Source organism: Homo sapiens, chromosome X (genome assembly GCF_000001405.40).
Source record: "Homo sapiens chromosome X, GRCh38.p14 Primary Assembly".
Classification (NCBI taxonomy): domain Eukaryota; kingdom Metazoa; phylum Chordata; class Mammalia; order Primates; family Hominidae; genus Homo; species Homo sapiens.
In genome coordinates, this window is record NC_000023.11 from 98,632,849 (window position 1) to 98,652,648 (window position 19,800).

Consider the following 19,800-nt stretch of genomic DNA (forward strand, 5'->3'; position numbering starts at 1 on the left):
CAAAAAGTTGGTATTTGAAATGCTAAACATAATTGACAAAGCTGTAGCCAGATTATCTAAGAAGACAAGAGAGAAGATACATATAAATAAAATCAGAGATGAAAAAGGAGACATTACAACTGATACTGCAGAAATTCAAAGGGTCATTCAGGGCTACTATGAGCAATTATATGGAAATACATTGGAAAATTTAGAAGAAATGGGCAAATTTCTTAGAAATATACAACCTACCCATATTGAACCAGGGATAAATCCAAAACCTGAACAGACCAATTATAAGTAATGTGATCAAAGTCATAATAAAAATTCTTCCAGTAAAGGAAAGGCTGGGAACCAATGGCTTCAGTGCTGAATTCTAGCAAACATGTTAAGAACTAATACAATCCTACTCAAACCATTTTGAAAAATAGAGTAGGAGGAAGGACTTCCAAACTCACTCTACAAGGCCAATATTATCCTGATAACAAAACCAGACAAAGACACATCAAAAACAAACAGACAAACTATATGCCAATATCTCTGATGAATACTTATGCAAAAATTCTCAATAAAATATTAGCAAACCAAATTTATTAATATATTATAAAGCTCATTCATCAAGACCAAGTGGGATTTATCCCAGAGAGGCAAGAATGGTTCAGAATATGCATATCAATTAATGTGTTACATCAAATCAACAGAATAAATTAAAAAATCAATATGATCACTTCAATTGATGCTGAAAAAGAATTTGATGAAATTCAACATCTGTTCCTGATTTAAAAAACCCTAAAAAAAGTGCCCATGAAGGGAACATACCTCAACATAATAAAAACCATGTATGACAGACCCACAGCAAGTTTCATACTGAATGGGGAAAAACTGAAAGGCTTTTTTTCCAAGATCTGGAACATGACAAGAATGCCCACTTGCACCATTGTTATTCAACACAGTACTGGAAATCCTACCTAAAGTGATCAAACTAGAGAAAGAAACAAAGGGCATCCAAATTGGAAAGGAAGAAGTCAAATTATCCTATCTAATATGTGGAAAAATCTAAAGATGCCATAAGAACACTATTAGAACCGTTAAATTCATTAAAGTTGCAGGATACAAAATTAACACACAAAAATCAGTAGCCTATCTATAGGCCCACAACGGACAATGTGAGAAAGAAATTTAAAAAGTAATTTCATTTACAGTAGCCACAAATAAAATTAAATACCTAGGAATTAACTTAGCCAGAGAGGAGTAAAATCTCTATAATGGAAACTATAAAACACTGATGAACGAAATTGAGGAGGACACCACAAATGGAAAGTTATTCCATGTTCATGGATTGGAAGAATGTTGTTCAAATGTCCATACTACCCAAAGCAATCTACAGATTCAATGCAATCTGTATCAAAATACCAATGACATTCTTCACAGAAATAGAAAAAAATTATCCTAAAATTTATAAAAACCACAAAAGACCTAGTATAGCCAAAGCTATCTTGAGGAAAAAGTGCAAAACTCAGGGGAATCACATTACCTGACTTCAAATTATGCTACTGAGCTGTAGTAATCAAAACAGCATGGTACCAGCATAAAAGCAGACACACAGACCAATGAAACAGAGTAGAGAACCCAGAAACAAATTCACACACTCACAGCAAACTCATTTTCAATAAAGTTGCTAAGAACATACACTGGGGGAAAGACAGTCTCTTCTATAAGTGGTGACAGAAAAACTGGATATCCATAGGCAGAGTGAAACTAGACCACTATCTTTTGCCATATAAAAATTAAATCAAAATGGATTAAAGAACAAATACCAAAGAATTAACATACAGAGAAAAATGATGGTCCAATACTTCAAACTGTAAAACTACCACAAGAAAACGTTGAGGAAACTGTCCAGACATTTGTCTGTGCAAAGATTTCTTGAGTAATACCCCACAAGCACAGGCAACCAAAGCAAAAATGGAAAATGGCATCACATTAAGTTAAAAAGCTTCTGCACAACAAAGGATACAGTTAGCAAAGTAAAGAGAAAACCCCATAGACTGGGAGGAAATATTTGCAAACCACCCATCTGACCAGGGATTAATAACCAGAATATATAAGAAGATCAAACAACTCAACATGAAAAAAACTAATAACTCTATTTTTAAAAGGGCCAAAGATTTGAATAGACATTTGTCAAAAGAAGACATACAAGTGGCAAACAGACATATGAAAAGTTGCTCAACATTACTGATCATCAGAGAAATGCAAATCAAAACTACAATGAGCTATCATCTCACCCCAGTTAAAATGGTTTATATCCAAAAGACAGGCAATAGGAAATGCTTTCACGGATATGGAGAAAAGGCAACACTGTTCACTGTTGGTGGGAATGTAAATTAGTATAACCACTATGGATAATAGTTTGGAGATTTCTAAAAAAACTAACAATTGAGCTACCATATGATCCAGCAATTCCACTGCTGGGTATATAACTAAAAGTAAGGAAGTCAATATGTCAAAGATATATTTGCATTCTCATGTTTGTTGCAGCTCTGTTCACAATCACCAAGATTTGGAATCAACCTAAGTGTCCATCAACAGATTAATGGATAAAGAAAATGTGGTACTTATACATAATGGAGTACTACTCAGCCATAAAAAAGAATAAAATTCAGTCACTTGCAACAACATGGGTTGTTGAAGGTCATTATGTTAAGTGAAATGAGCTAAGCACAGAAAGACAACCATCACATGTTCTTACTTATTTGTGGCATCTTTAGATACCAAAAATCAAAATTGGATTCATGAACACAGAGAGTAGAAGGATGATTACTAGAGCCTGAGAAGGGTAGTGGGAATTGGGCATGAGTTGGGGATGGTTAATGGGTACAAACAATAGAAACAACGAATTAAACCTAATATTTAATAGTATAACAGGGTGACTAGAGTTAAAAAACTTAATTGTACATTTACAAATAGCTAAAAGAATATAATTGGATTGTTTTTAACAAAAAGCATAAATACTTGAGGGGATGGGTACCCCATTCTTCATGATGTGATTATTACTCATTCCATGCCTGTATCAAAGCATCTCATACCTCATAATTGTATACATCTGCTATCTACCCACAGAAATTAAAAAATAAAATGTCATTCCTCAACAACAACAACAAAACAAATATTTTACGGGCCAATTAAGCAATAGCTAGTGAAGTTGAAGATGCACTCATCCTAGGACTCAGAAATTCCACTTTTAATCAGAACAAAAGCTACTCAGGGTCACTGGTCTGAGGACTATTTTTTATCTGTCTTCCATGAGATAAGGAGCCTGTGTCAAAGTGTAAATTAATTCAGTGCTTTCTTTATTGAGAAATTCTTATTATGAAAATAATTATCAACTGAATTATATAGTAAATTTAGTTAGCATGTTGATTTGCATTCTGGGACCAGCTCCTTATCTCGTTACAGACATGTAACTATCAGTTAATGGATTAGCACTGATCTAAAGACCACATTTTAAGTAGCATGGACCTAGGTAAAAATCTTGAAAGTATTCACAAGGAGATAATTTTGTAATATCTTCAATTTGGAAACAACATATATGCCCATCAATAAATAAATGGATAAACAAATATTACAAGGTGATTAAAATAATATACTAGATATTCAATTATTGTGATATACTACCTGACTTCATTTTTTTTGTTTGACTGCTGACAGTTTTCAAGACCCACCACTCCCTCTTTCCCTCATGCCCACTCCTGGCCAAGCTGATAAGAAAGCCCTGGGGCTCCACCTTTAGTACTGGCAGGAAGTTTAAAGCATGCAAACCTTGGCCCATGAACAGAAACCTCATTGCAGCCACAGCCCCTAATCACAATAAAAGCCAAGACAGTCTTCTTTCTCAGCTCTCTGAAATAGTTTTCAGTTCAGGTTGGGAGCTTTCACTGCTCTCCTCAGAAAGTCTCATTATAAAAGTATAATAAACCTTTTAGTACTCTCTTGGTGCGTATGTGCTAGCATCACCACAGTTTTAATATGTGAGCCAAATTTTGGATGAAGGAGTTCATCCTACTTATGCAGAATGACCATGTCAACTAATAATATGAATAAATCTGGAACACAGCATTAAGGAAAAAAAATTTGCAAAAACAAATTGAAAGCTGTATGTAAAGTTTAAGAACACAAATAATATTTTATGTTCTTATGAATGATATACATATGACTCTATTATTCTCTCTGTCTTCCTTCAAGTTTCCATATACTTGTCACCTTATCAGAGAGGCTGTTGTTAACTACTATAATGGCTCCCTTTGAGTAAGGGTAGAGAGAAGAATGGAAAGGTAACATTATTTAAAAAATACAGCTCAGACAAATATCTCAAAATATTGTTCATTAAATATGATAATTGATATGCTGTGTATGTTAGGTCTTTATATATCTACAATTATCTTAAAATTAGAAAAAATATTTTAAAATGAAATAATGAATTAATTGCCACAAATTATTGATTTACCTCCATTCTTTTATCAAATGAATTTACTGAAAATTCTACCTCATAGGTCTCAGAATCTTATGCCATCCTTATCAGATAGGGCCCTGATTTTAGCATATGAGACCTGTCAAGCTGCATATTTTATCTCTTTGTATCTCTGTTATCCTTACAATTAAATCCTATATTTGTTTTTTAGCAGTCTGCCTTAGGACTGCAGAAGATGAGGATCTTGCTAAATACTGCCATAGTAGCTGTGGTGGGTTGAATAGTGGCCCTAAAAGCTTGCCAAAGTTCTAATTCTTGGTACCTATAAATGTGATCTTTTTTGGTAATGGGTTGTCTGCAGATGTAATTAAGTTAAGGCTCTCAAGATGAGATCATCCAGGATTTAGGGTGGCCACTAAATTCAATTATGAGTATACTTAGACATATAGGAGAAAACACAGAGATACATGGGGGAAGGTCAAATGAAGATGGAGGCAGAGACTGGAGTCACACACTTACAAGCCTAAGAATGCCAAGACTTGCTGGCAGCCACTAGGAACTAGGAGAGAGTTCTGAGATAGTTTCTTTCTTAGAGCCTCCAGAAGAACCCAATGCTTCTGACACCTTGATTTCAGAATTCTGACTTCCAGAACTGTCAGGAAATAGATTTCTATTCTCAGACTGTGGTAATATTTTATGGAATCCTTAGAAAACTAATATATTGGCCTCATGCATTCCATGTTTGTTTTGAGTTGTTAATGGGTGACTTGAGCCTGTCATTCTCTTTTTATTAAGGTATTCAAGAAAATAAACAAAAGCCAGACAACTCCACAATCCTTATATTTACTATTGATTTCATATTGCTCTAGTGTTATTGCTGCTACATAAACCCAGTACTTCCTGAGTCTGGTTCGTAGATGAGACAACTCAGTATGTTGGTGGAAGCAAGCAATTGATTGCTGGTATGCTATCACACCACTCAGGGGTGGCTTTGTAGAACAGTAGTGAGGGAAATCTCCCCAATGATAAGATCTCCTCAAATCTCCCATGCCTATTGTCAATGGAGAGAAAACTGCCTAGAGTTAAGAATGTAGGGGCTCATAGTCAATGGTCAGTGACATATTGGATTGGTTAGAGATATGGAAGAAGCAAAATTGGAAGGTCAGAGACAAGGAGTTCTGGGAAACAGACATTTTAATGGACCAATGGAAATGGCATAAACTGGTGTGAAACTGCATGTTTTGTGTTAATGCCTAAGAAAACGTCTACCACAGAGAGGCACTGAACAACCAGATAGATAGACTAACTCATTCAGTGAAAATTAGTCGTCATTTGTACTTGACCATCCCTGAGTGGTGGCACATTGGGCACATGAACAGAACAACCACGATGGCAGCGATGGAGGCTCTGCCCAAGTTCAACTGCATGACTCCTTCACACAAATTATGATCTAGCTGCTCTCTCTACTAAATTCTGACCTGTCTGAATGTCAGCAGTTAATGTTGAGCTTTTGAGTTGGTAAAATCTCTCAAGGAAATGAACCAGACATTTGTGACAAATTCATTATATCAGACCCCCTCAACATTGGAAGGGGCAGTGATTATTCTTTTCCAGAATTAACAGTAACATGAAAAATGAATTGGTTTTTCCAACTCCATACAATAAATCTTAAACTCCTCAATTCTCCTGAAGCCTCAGGAATGACTAGTGCTTGATTTTGGCCCATTCAAAGAAAAATATAAATAGACAGAAACCATCCCTGAGGAACCACACACATTGGACTTACTAGACAAAGACATTAAATCAAAAGTTTCAAACATGTTCAATGCTAAATGAAACCATAAAAATGAACTAAAGAATAATAGCAAGATGATGTATGAACAAACTGAAAATATCAATAAAGAGATAGAAGTTACAGTAGGAAACCAAACAAATTTGGGAGCTGAAAAGCACAATAACTGAAATGAAAAAAATTGCTAGAGAAGTTCAACAGTAGATTTGGGCAGGCAGAAGGAAGACTCAGCAAACTTCAAGACAGGCCAACTAAAATGATCTAGTCTGAGGAGCGGAAAGAAAAAAGAATGAGAAAAGTGAACATAGCCTAATGCACCTGTAGCATCAAGCAAAACAACATATGCATATGAAAGTCACAGAAGAAGAAGGAAAGTTAGAAAATTCCTTGAAATGAATGAAAAAAGAAAACCACAATACAGGAAAATTTATGAGATGCAGCTAAAGGAGTGCTTAGATGTCAAGTTATAGCTGTAAACTTGTACAGTAAAAAAGAAATATCTAAAATCAGCAAGTAACCTAACTATGCAGCTTAAGGAACTAGCATGTCTAGAACAAGATACATAGTACTGGAACATAGTACTGGAAGTTCTAGCCGAAGTAATTAGTCAAGAAAAAGAAAGAAAAGGCATCCAATAAAAAGGAAGAGGTATAATTATCTGCATTTGCAGATGGCAAAATCTTATATCTAGAAAACCCATAAGAATTCACAAAAGAACCTGTTAGAGCTAAAACAGTCAGCAAAATTGTAGGATACAAAGCAAACATGCAAATATCAATTGTATTTCTACACACTAATAATGAATAATGTACAGAGGGAATTAAAGCAATAATTTCATTTACGATATTATCAAAAATACATATAAACAAACTTTCCAAGAAGTTTAAAATTTGTACACTGAAACCTATGAAACATTACTGACAGAAATTAAAGAAGACCTAAATAAATGGAGAGACATTCTATATTCGTGGATTTGAAGATTTAATACTACTCAGATGACTATACTGCCAAAGCAATCCACAAATTCAGTGCAATCCCAGTAAAATCCCAATTGCATTTTTTTTACAGAAATGAGAAAACCCATTCTAAAATTCATATGGAATTTGAAGAGACCCACCATAGTCAAAAAATATTGGAAAAGAACAAAATTGGAGGACCCACACTTCCTGATTTCAAAACTTATTACAAAGCTACAGTAATCAAAGTAGTGTCATACTGGCTTAAAAGTGTACATATATACCAATAGAATAGAATTGACAGTCCAGAAATAAACCCATATATCTATGGTCAATGTAATTTTTACAAGGAAGCCAAGACTATTCAATGAGGGAAAGAACAGTCTATTTAACAAATGGTGCTAGGGGAACTGAATATACACATGTAGAAGAATGAAGTTGGACCCTTACCTTACATCATACACAAAAATTAACTAAAATGTCAATTGAAGAGCAAAAACTGTAAAGCTCTTAGAAGAAAACACAGGGGAAAATATGTAGGCTCTTGGATTTGATAATGGCTTCTTAAATACAACACCAGAAATGCAGGCTAAAAAATTAAAAATGGACACATTTGACTTCATCAAAATTAAAAACTTTTGTACCTGAAAGGACACTATCAAGAGACTGAACAGCACTGTTCACAATAGCAAAGACTTGGAACCAACCCAAATGCCCATCAATGATAGACTGGATAAAGAAAATGTGGCACATATACACCATGGAATACTATGCAGCCACAAAAAAGGATGAGTTCATGTCCTTTGCAGGGACGTGGATGAAGCTGGAAACCATCATTCTCAGCAAACTAACACAAGAACAGAAAACCAAACACCACATGTTCTCGCCCTTAAGTGGGATTTGAACAATGAGAACACAGGGACACAGGGAGGGGAACATCACACACCGGGGCCTCTCGGGGTGGTGTGGGGCCAGGGGAGGGATAGCATTCGGAGAAATACTTAATGTAGATGACGTGTTGATGGGTGCAGGAAACCACATGGCACGTGTATACCTGTGTAACAAACCTGCACGTTCTGCACATGTACCCCAGAACTTAAAATATAATAATAATAATAATAAAAATAAAAGAAAGGCACACTAGTTGGCTTAACCCAAAAGAAAAAAAAAGAGCGTGAACAGCAACTTAGAGGATGGGAGAAAATACTAACAAATTATATATCTGAGAGGGACTTAATATACACAATATATAAGAAACTCCTACATCTCAACAACAAAAAGACAAAAAACCCAATTAAGAAATGGGCAAAGGGCTTGAATAGACATTTCTCCAAAGAAGATACACAAATGGTCAATAGGCACATGAAAAAATGCTCAATATCATTAGTCGTTAGGAAAATGCAAATAAAAACCAAACTGAAATACCACTTCAAATCAGTCTATGGCATTTTTATGGCAGCCTGAGCTGATTAAGACACCATATAATTGACCATTATTCAGCCATAAAAAGGAATAAAATTCTGATACATGCTACAACATGGACAAACATTGAAAACATTATGCTGTGTGAAATAAACCAAACACAAAATGACAAATATTGTATGACTTCCCATATAGAAAATATACAAGATAGGCAATTTCATTGAAACAGAAAGTAGATTAGAGGTTATAAGGGATTGATGGAAAAGTGTATGTGGAGTTATTCATTAATGAGTATAGAGTTTCTGTGTGGAGTGATAAAAAATTTCAGAAATAGATCATGGTGATAGTTGCACAACATTGTGAATATAATTAATGTCACTGAATTGTACACTTAAAAATGATTAAAATGGTAAATTTAATGTTATATATGTTTTGCCACTGTAAAAGAAAAACAAATAGAAAAAAAAGAGGGCAGTGGGAAAACATTACTGGTTGTCAAAGGAAGGGAACATGCCTCTCTCAATTATTAATGCTCTATATACAAAATTGGTGAGTAATTTTAGAATGGCATGTATTGCTCTATAAAGACTGTGGTTATGCTTTAAATGTGGTTCCAATCTTTTGGTGTACACCTGGAGGTAGAGAACTTGTTACAAATATAGAGTCCCAGAAATTTGCTTCAAGATATTTAGGTTCAGTAGATATGAGCTGAAGCTCAGGGTTTTGCAGTTTAATAAACACTGCAGACAATTTTGATGAAAGTGATACACAGCCAATGCTTTGAGAAACAATGCTATAAATGATGGTTAGGTCCTCAGTTGGGACTATAGAAGTGTATTTATCTCCAAATGTATGTGGATATAGTAACATTTCAGTAATGCCTAACCATCATTTCTAATTTTATTCAACAAAATGTGTCCTAATATCCTTTCTATAGTGTTGAATAGGCAATAATAATTTTCTAGCTCTATACATTTTCATATATAATAGTTACCTTTTTAAGTAAGTCTCAAGTCAAACACTCTAATTTGTATTCAACAGACAGATAACATATCCAGTTTAGGATATTATAGAGGACTTTCAGAATTCACTTGTATTGTTATAGGTTATTTTTAAAGTCAACTTTTATTTTAGATACAGGAGGTATATGTGCAGATTTGTTATGTGCATATATTGCATCCAGGGAGTGAGGCTAGCACCCCATAGGTACTTTTTCAACCCGCACTTTCTTCCCTCCTTCTCCCCTCTAGTAGTTGGTGTCTGTTGTTTCCATGTTTATGTCCATGCGTACTCAATGTTTAGCTCCCACTTACAAGTGAGAAAGTGCAGTATTTTATTTTCTGTTCCAGCATTATTTGCTTAAGATATAGGTCATTTCTAAAATGTTTTAAAATGTGGACTTTGTGTAATGGGGATTTCTATAAAGCAGAAAATTGCCTAAATTGTAAGATTATGCATCAAACGTACTGGTTGTATATTGTAAAGCTCTTGTATATTAGTCGACTTGTATTTGTGCATGCTTGGACTCCCTGACTGGATTGCATACTTCTGGAGGACAGAAACTATGTATGCATATCATTGTGTCTCCCATCACACCTAATAATATTATCGACCAGACTAATCAACTGGTATGTTAACAGGCTAATTGGCTTAGTGTGATATAGCTCACAATAGTAAACTAAGTCTCTTTGGAAAATATCAGTAGGGCCATTAATATGATTAGGAATGCTGACCAGACTGTCTTACCTCATAGCACAGAGCAGAGAGAGGCAACCATAACAAAACTAGCTGCTGGAATGTCAGGAAGCAAAAAAGTCTTGAACAATACATATGGCTTAAAAAATTTTTACTCTATTTTACAGTTCACTGTGTATCATTATACATTTTTTGTCTTCCAGAACAACCTCAGGAATATCTAAAGCAGAATACAAAGTAACAGCTTGATTCTGTATCTTCTGTTTCACAGTAAACTTGGTCATCATTTGATATATCTTAATAAATGTTATATATAGAATGGATTGGCACCAAGCTGCCAGCATCTTTGTGTTTGAAATGTCTCATTCTTCCTAAATGAGATTATCATTTGTTCAATCAAATTCAGATGTTGTTCCTCATAAGTCTTATCCTTGAACTAACGGAAAACACTAGAGGGTGAGAACAAGCAAGTCATTTTTTACAGAATTTTATCATGCTAAAAGCAGTGTCCAAATATTATCCATTTTTACTGACTCTTCAAAGTCACTGTCTTGCACTTGTAAATTTTATTCATGAAATTCATGAATATTAAGAACAAATAGTTATTTCTTCAGTAGCAAGTAGGCACCCTGAATATAGGACTTGATAATATTAAAAGCATTAAATCAGGATACTGAGTTCTATTTGTAACTGTGGAACTGATCTCTATTTCCCTGCTAAATCAGATCCTCTTCTGTCAATCACTTTTGTTACCTGGTCAACAAGACAGAGATGCATCCTGTAAATAAAGCAACAATCGAGAGACATACTTTGAACCCTATACTTTCTACATCCTTTGTTGTCTGACTGTGCCCAAGGACTTTACCTTCTGTGACCTTGTCTCCTCAAAAGAAAGATACTAATAATTATCTAACTTACACGGATTCTGAAAAGAGTAAATGAGATAATAGATGTGTGAATCACTTTGTAAAAGGCCAAATGATAAAGTCAGCCATTATTATTATCATAAGTTTCTGCTTTGTGGAATCTTAAAAGAATTTACCAAATGAGATAAAGCATTATTTCAATAATCAAAACCCCTGGAGCTTAACAATAATAACAATGATAATAGCTAGCATTAGACATAACCCAACATGATCTGGCTCTGCCTACCTATCTGATCTCATGCCCTACTCCTCTTTTTCCCTTAACTCTGTATTTTTCAGCCACAATAATGTCTTTGTCTTTCCTAGAGAACGTTAATAGCATTTTTCCCTTTTTAAGAACATTACACTTCCTGTTCTCCCTGCCTGAAATGTTCTTCCCTGCCCACCCTCCCACCCCAACACAGTTATTTCATGGCTGTCTCTTTTTGTGTCTTTCAGGTCTCTGATCAAGTGCCACATCTTTAGAGAAGCTTTTCCAAACAACCGTAAGTAAAATAGCATGTGTCCTACCCCTACAGTCTGTCTGTAGTCCCTTATTCTGATCTAGTTTCTTCATGGCACTTATATCTGACATTATTTGTTTATGTATTATATATCTTTCCAATTAGAATATGAGATGGTTGAGAGAAAGGACTGTTCTCTGTCTTGGTTCACCATTGTATCCCAGCACATAAAACAGTGACACACTTATGGTAAATGCTCCATAAGCATTTGTTCAATGAAAGAATTACATTTATTGAACTTTATATGCCAGGCCTTGTTTTATAAGTATCATTGCATTTAATGTTGACAATAACGCTATGGGGTAGATACCATCATCCCTATTTTGCAAAAGAGAAAATTTAAATTTAGCAAGGTTAAATAAGTTGTTCAGTGGTCACACAGCAGTTAATTGGAAAACCCAGTATTTGAACACAGATATTCTGATTCTAGTGGACTTATTCATAATACTCTACTGCCTCTAGTGTTTATTTATTGAGCACTTACTATGTAGCAAGCACTATGTTAAATGTTTTATGGGCATAATTTCATTCAGTCAATATCCCTATCTTTACAGAGAGAAACTTAAATCTTAGGTAGGTTATGTAATTTGCCCTAGTTACACACATAATAATGGGCTATCCTTTATGAAATATCTAAAAAAAAAAAATGATGCTGCAATTGTCACCTCATTTAAAGAATGCTCTGTCTGAATTTTGTATTCTGAAAGAAAAAATAAGGGCAAAATGAGTTGTCTCAACATTCTGGCCAAGTGGTCTCTTATTTCCAAAACCATATTTTTGCTTTTCTTTTTGGCTACTGTTATGCATATTCCTAATCAAGGTTGAACTGTATTTTTACAAGCATACACTTTTATTTGTGAGGGCAACAAGAGTGATACCCTTGCTCATGTCAAATAGTGACGTAATTGGTGCACTAAAACTAGAACTCAGGTCTTCTGACTCTGGCTTAATTTCTAATTCCATTATACTTTGTCCTCATTAACAACTTGCTTTAACCAACTAAGATAATTGGAATATAATAATGATGTGTTTAAATCTATTTAAACACTTTTCTGTAATTTCTGATGAAAATCATCGCTCTTACCATTGTCCATCTAATTCAGGGGTCCCCAACCCCAGGCCACCGACCCTTAGGGACCCGGCCTCACAGCAGGAGGTGAGCAGCGGGGATTGGGCATTACTCCCTGAGCAACGCCTCCTGTCAGATCTATGACGGATTTAGATTGTCACAGGAGCTCAAATCCTTTTGTGAACAGCGTGTGCGAGGCATCTATGTTGCACACTCCTTATGATAATCTAATACCTGATGATCTGAGGTAGAACAGTTTCATCCCAAAACCAACCCCCTGCTTCCATGGAAAAATTGTCTTCCACAAAACCAGTCCCCGGTGCCAGAAAGGTTGAGGAACGCTGATCTGGTTTTACATATTCTTTTTATTCACAACCATTTACTCAGATATATGATTGTGTATCTATTTAAGGACAAAATTTTTTGAGGGCAGACACTGTGAGTAGCCTTTATTATATACCTTTAACAATTCAAAAAAGAGCCAGGTACTATCTGGATTCTGAGTATATCCTAGGTCACTTATATTAGCTCCTTTAATCTAAGCTTGGAGGACCACAAAAGAAAAATTCCGTTGAAACATGAAACATGAGATATTCAGACAAAACAAAAATCACATAAAGCCTTGGATACACATCAACACATACACATATACACAGAATTCTGCAACATTTCAATTCATCCTTATTAACTTGGTTTGTACAGTTTTTCTTTTAACAAGGGATGTCCCCAACAGTCATTCATGATAAACAAGTATCGTGAGCATTACCATGATGGTATTTGCCAAAGGAAAATGAATAATTCAGTGTTTGTTTAGCTACAGGGACAGGCATGTTTTGCCATTAGCAGAGAGAATCTTGGCTGAATTAGTGAGGACCAACTCATTCCATTCCACTGAGCACAAATGGGAATCTTCTCCATTGTCTAGTTGCCAAACAAATATCTGCATTTGTGTAAGTGCATTTTCATATTCAAAAGGAAAGGTTGTTATGTGGGATACTTGCCATTTTTCAGTAATGATGAAATAAACAATCTCTGCAGGGCCTGTATAATTAACACCTTTGCTTTTTTAAAAAAGGCACAATTAATTTATACTTATTTCTAAGCTAAATTCTGTTGTTTTTTGAACCAGTGATTTCATTTTCACAAACAAGAAGATGAGGCTTAACCTTGACAACATTGGTGTTACTTTCTGATTGGGAAAAATATTAACAGTCTGAACTTAAGCTTTTATCAGAGAAAAATTGAATTTTTAAATAAATCTATTTTTATTGAGGAGATAAATGAGGAGAAAAGAAAACAATTGCCCTTGTATTACTAGTGCTATTTTCCTATTTCTACCTATTCTACACGGTTAACATGAAATGCATGTATATTGCATGCAGATACATTATATTAATTACAAGTAGCTGATAATTCACTTAGTGAAAAAATACGTGTTCAAGATACATAGAGTCAATATTGCTTATCAAGTAAGGTTACTAAGGGCAAAATAATCACCAATATCCACTTAATGTCTACTGAGATAATATATTTTGTGAGAAAAAGAGTAATTTAGAATTGATATTCAATGTAAAGAGTCAGAGGGGGCTTCTTGGAGGCAATGGCTAAATTTATTGAGCTGAATTTTAAAGCTCAGAGAGATGGATCAGCAGAGAGAGGGCATTCTAAGTAGGAACTCATTAGTTTATGTGTAATAGAGGAGGGTTCATTTAGGGAGACTGATGAAAAATGGTGTTAATGATTAACAGTTGCAAGTTGATAGAGGTCTCTAAAGATCAGAAAGATGGATGTGTATTTGTTAATAATCATAATAAGAAACCACTTTAGTTTTTTAAGAAAGGGAGTAACATAATAAAGCAAATCCAGGCTACAATGAGTATAGCATACTGGTACAGATCATAGAGTCTGAATCTCAATTAATAGATTTGAATTCGGCTTCTTTCAATTCCTAGCAACCTTGTGTAAGTTACTGAACTTCTTTGTGCTTCATATTCCTCAACAGTAAATTAGAACTAGTGATTGTGCCAACTTCTTAGGGTTGGTGTGATGATTAGATGATTTCATGCAAGTAAAATGATTAGGAGAGTACCTCACATAGAGTATCCAATTAATAAATGCTAGTTCCCACATCAGTGGTGTGAGGGAAACATTATCGTTTAGCCATTTCTCAATCTAGCCATTCTTATTGTTCTTATATGCTTTAATCTAAGTCTTGTACTCTAAACAAACCAGTTTGCTCTTCCTTGTCACTCAGACAGACTTTGAACATATTATTCCTGCTTATAGTAGCCTGTTCTTTTCCACCAAACAACATTCATACTCTAGTTAAAACTCTTACTTCAGATGACATTCCTTCACTAATCCCACCCAGATTCCAGGAATCCTGCAGCATTGTATATGTGATGTAGGTGCTCCTGTCAGTTTTTCTGTGGTTATCTTGGTGATTCAATCCTCTCCCTTCTCCACTGAAATCATCCTCTCAAAGGTGGCTAACTTGACCAAGAATAGAAGCCAGAATTCACTAGTGTTATCCACACACATTTATTTATTTTTTCATCATAGTCTGTATATATTTTCATGATAATATGTTTCTCTACTGCCAATTAGTCAAAAGGGAAGGAGGTAGCTCCCTGGAGAAAATGGTTAAATACTGAATGCTTGCAATATGTAGGCATGGGAATCGGACTGTTTGGGTTTGTATCCTGACTGTATTGTCTACTAGGCAACCTTAGGCAAGTGTTCTTAATGCTTCTGTGCCTAGGTTTTCTCATCTACAAAATAGAAAAAATAAATGGTAAATCACCTGATATTGTTTGGATCTGTGTCCTCACCCAAATCTCATGTTGAAATGTAATTCCCAATACTAGAGGTGAGGCCTGATGGGAGGTGATTAGATAATGGGGACAGTTTCTCATGGTTTAACACCATCCCTACTTGGTGCTGTCATCATGATAGTGAGTTTTCGTGAGATCCGGTTGTTTAAGAGATCAGGACCCTCTCTCTTGGTCCTGCTCCTGCCGTGTAAGATGCCTGCTCCCACGTTGCCTTCTGCCATGAGTAAAAGCTCCTTGAGGCCTCCCCAGAAGCAGATGCCACCATACTTACTGTACAGCCTGCAAAATCGTGTGCCAATGAAACATCATTTCTTTATTACCCAGGTTTCAGGTATTTTTTTTATAACAATGTCAGGATGGACTAATATACCACTTCATAGAAATGTTTAGAAAATTAAATAAAATAATGAATTTAAAGCATTTAGCATAGTGTCTGGCAGGTAGGAATATCTTAGTAATGTTAACTGTTATTTATTTAGTACTAAACCCGAAACATAGGAGAAAAAGTATTATCTTTATCTTATAGAACAAGACATAGGTTTAGAGTAAAGGACCTTATTCAAAGTGACAGAGCTAATAAATGGCTGCTGCTATTCCACTGCATTCATTTTATCCTGCTATTTTTCTGAGTTTCCACAACATTTTAGATATTTAAAAGAGAAGATTATTACTTTATGTCAATTCAGTTAGTAATACTTATTTCTTTTGTACCTATGGCCATAGAATTATCAGCCCTGTACTAAACCATCTGATTCTACCACTTTTGCCTCTAGGTGTATTGCAAATTTAGATGTCTTCTATGTAATACCTGTAGGTGAAAGATGGCTTATCATGTGCAAATAAAACTGCATCAATGAGGAAGAGCCCTGACTTCTTGTTTTCCAGAGCAATCCTAAAACTGGGTATCAAGGCTTTATTTATTTGCATCTAACTGTGTGTATCACCACTGAGTGTCCCTAATTCTAAGAACATATATTATAACAATTAATGAAACCCCAAGAAACTGGGCTTAAAATTCAACACTCAATAAATGTCCTGTAGAAAAGTCACAGCAATGTTAAATCGATTACCTTAAACTAGTGCTTTCCCAAAGCATGTGTGGCAGAACACTGGTTTAATAAAAAGCTCCTTAAGAAAAGCATTTAGTGGTCAAATAAATTTGTTAAGCACTATATGCTATAATCACCTTCCAGGAAATTTACAGTGCTGTATTAGTTAAGGTTGTTTTGGTTGCAAGTAACAGAAACCAACTTGAGCTAGCTTCAGCTAAAAGGTAATTAATTGGAAAAAAATTATGGTAATTCACAGAAATCAAAAGAACGGTTGAACAAATGAACCTCAATAAGAGAAGGAATTAGAATATCTCAGCAGCAAGAGTTCATGGAGCTTCCTGAATGTACAGTCTTAGACCAGTGCTGGCCAGAATGTATAAAATTATCCTAAAAATCTTAAGGGCTGCAGTGTCTGGTACACATTGCATGTGAGTCTTCAATAATTCTTAGCTATCCTTATTAAACATTTTATGTGCAAATCAGGCACAAGATATTCTGATGTGGAGATCTGGGATGGGGCTCAAGAATCAGCATTTTTGCATAACTTCCCACATGAGTATGAAGTGGAGCCAGATTTGGGATCCAGTTCTCATGTACCGGTATCAAGTGCCACAGACATCAGCAATGCCCAGCTTCTGTGTCTCTCAGCTCAAAATTGCATAAGGACAATTATTCTAATGGGGCCTTTGAGGTTCAAACATTTTACTTCGTGGCCAAACAGCTATGGCTAGGGAATTAGAATATACTTGACTTCAGAAGACATATTTCTGAGTAATAGGGGTATGCTATGATCTGAATGTTTGCGTTTCCCCAAAATTCACATGTTGAAACCTAATCCCCAGTTTGATAGTATTACCAGGTGGGGGCTTTTGGGAAATGATTAAGTCATGAGGGTGGAGACCTCATGAGTGGGATTAGTGCCCTTATAAAAGAGGGCAGAAGGAGCTTATTAGCCCCTTTTCCCATATGAGGACACCTAGTCTATGAAGAATGAGCCCTTGCCAGACACTGAATCTTCTGGCATCTTGATCTTGGACTTCTCAGTCACCAGAACTGTGAGCAATAAATATCTGTCATTTAAAAATTACCCAGTCTAAAAGAATTTGTTATAGCAGCCTGAACAAATGAAGACGGGGCAGTTCCCAGAGAAGAGAAAATCTTTGTGAACTGCGTAGCCACCCCAAGAAGTTTCTGCCTTTAGAAACATTCTAAGAAGTGCCTTTTAAAAGAAATCTGCTTAATTTTGTTGACCCAGACTTTACCTAAACTCATTTGACTACAAGATCCCATTTTTACCCATATGTAATAATATTATTCAGAGCAAATAATCTGCACAACACACATTAGGAAATGTTGAGTTAGAAAACTATTGAGTTAAAGCTATTATTTCCTAATCTTCACAGATTTGTGCCTAACCTTGCTTTCAACTGATGTTCACATAATTTATTTCTCTATATGACACAGCGGATGGCTCAGCCCTCACAGTTCTGAAAGAATCTTTTGTCTCTTGGCTCACTAACTCATGAAATGCCCGGTAACAAAAAAAGACGAAGGGATTTTATATAATCAAATAAGTTTAGCAAACATTGTATATAAACTTTTAAAATTTCACAATGTACTTAATCATGTAAAAGACTCTGAGAAGACTTGTAACAAAGACAATTCTTCAACTTTGCTTAACCCAATATTTTTCAAACTTATTTTTTGAGAGAACTAACTCCTATCAGTAATGCTTACCTTACCCACACGCTGCAGCAGAATGGAAGCCTGGGAATTACAAGTCCATTTTTTCCCTCCATTTCCTCCTTCTTTCTTCTTAATATTTTTCTGGTCTAGAAAGAACAATTATTTCATAAAGAATAGCCCCACAGAATTTCTGGTCTGAAATTGACCCTATTTGGTTATTACTTAAGGCAACTCTTTCTAACTTGCTTTGCTTTTCCCTCTATTATAAGAATGGTGAAGATCATAGCACATTCTTCTGAACCAAATAAATGTTGTCAAAAGCACCTCATATGAAAGCCATGCTTAGAATTCTCGTTCCTTGCAGTTGTACAACAAAAACAACTTTTGTTTTATTTTACAGCATTTAAAATTGCTTTTGCTTAAATGCAAAACTGAGAAGCCACAAAAATTGGATTAACCACAAATCAAAGAATGCCTAGAGCAATGCATAGGTTATATACTTGTACATCAGCTTCTTGAGTGTCTGCCTTAATGGGTAATATTCCCTAAAGCATTTTTATGTATTTCAAACAATAAATAAAACAAGTTACAAGAGGTATGTTCACCTACTGAATTTACCTGCTGTTACATCTGCATTTGACATGGCTGCCCTTGAGTTTCATACATTTATAGAGCCAGGCTACTGTGCTGCTTAGTATGGGGGGTGACTTGGATAAATTTTGAGGATGAGCAGTTAGTTCACTTAAAGGAAGAACTAACTGGGTCACCATCAAACTTTTTTTTTTTTTTACATTTTTCAGAGAAAGATCACATCTGCTAGAATCACTAGAAATGGGGAAGATAAAAATATCAAAGCAAAATTGAGACTTAGCTTCCTGACACAGCTCTCCCATTCACCAACACTTGGCAAAAAAAAAAAAAAAAAAGTGAAGCTAAAACTTAATAGGCATTTATTACTGTTATTTAAAATAAGGTCAGAAACCAAACACAAAGAGCCCAGCTCAAGCTGTCTGCCACCTGTCTGGGTCTGGCTGCATGAAGCTGCCACATATTCCCTGGTGGCTGTCCTTCTTGACTACCTAACGGGTTGAACAGCCATCTGTGTCTCCTGCCATCACTAATCAGGATGGTACACACATCTATTGTCCTTGGGCTTCAGGGCTCTTAGAGCATTATGGTTCCTGCCTATGGCTTATTGCTTAAGGAAAGCTAGTCTGGTTCACAGAGAATTTCTGAAACTCTCCTTTCCTCTCCTTCCGTGACCCTCTGACAGCTTCTCTGCTCTTTCCACCCTTCAGTGGTCCCTCATTCGATTTCCATTTAATCATTAAAATCATCATCACCAAGCTGTCTTTCTCCAGGACTCCATCTGCTTTGCTTTCAAATTCCACATCCTCTGGGACAAAGCACTCCTG

At 35.5% G+C, this 19,800-nt stretch overlaps 1 long non-coding RNA gene across 2 annotated transcripts in view; it reads left to right on the forward strand.

Moving 5' to 3' along the window:
* LINC03077 (long intergenic non-protein coding RNA 3077) overlaps positions 1 to 19,800 on the forward strand; it is a 293,892-nt gene that overhangs the window by 58,976 nt on the left and 215,116 nt on the right. For both annotated transcript variants that reach the window (NR_186574.1, NR_186575.1), the window contains one exon: positions 11,680 to 11,726. This is a non-coding gene — a long non-coding RNA (long intergenic non-protein coding RNA 3077). The remainder of the gene's footprint in view (positions 1 to 11,679; positions 11,727 to 19,800) is intronic.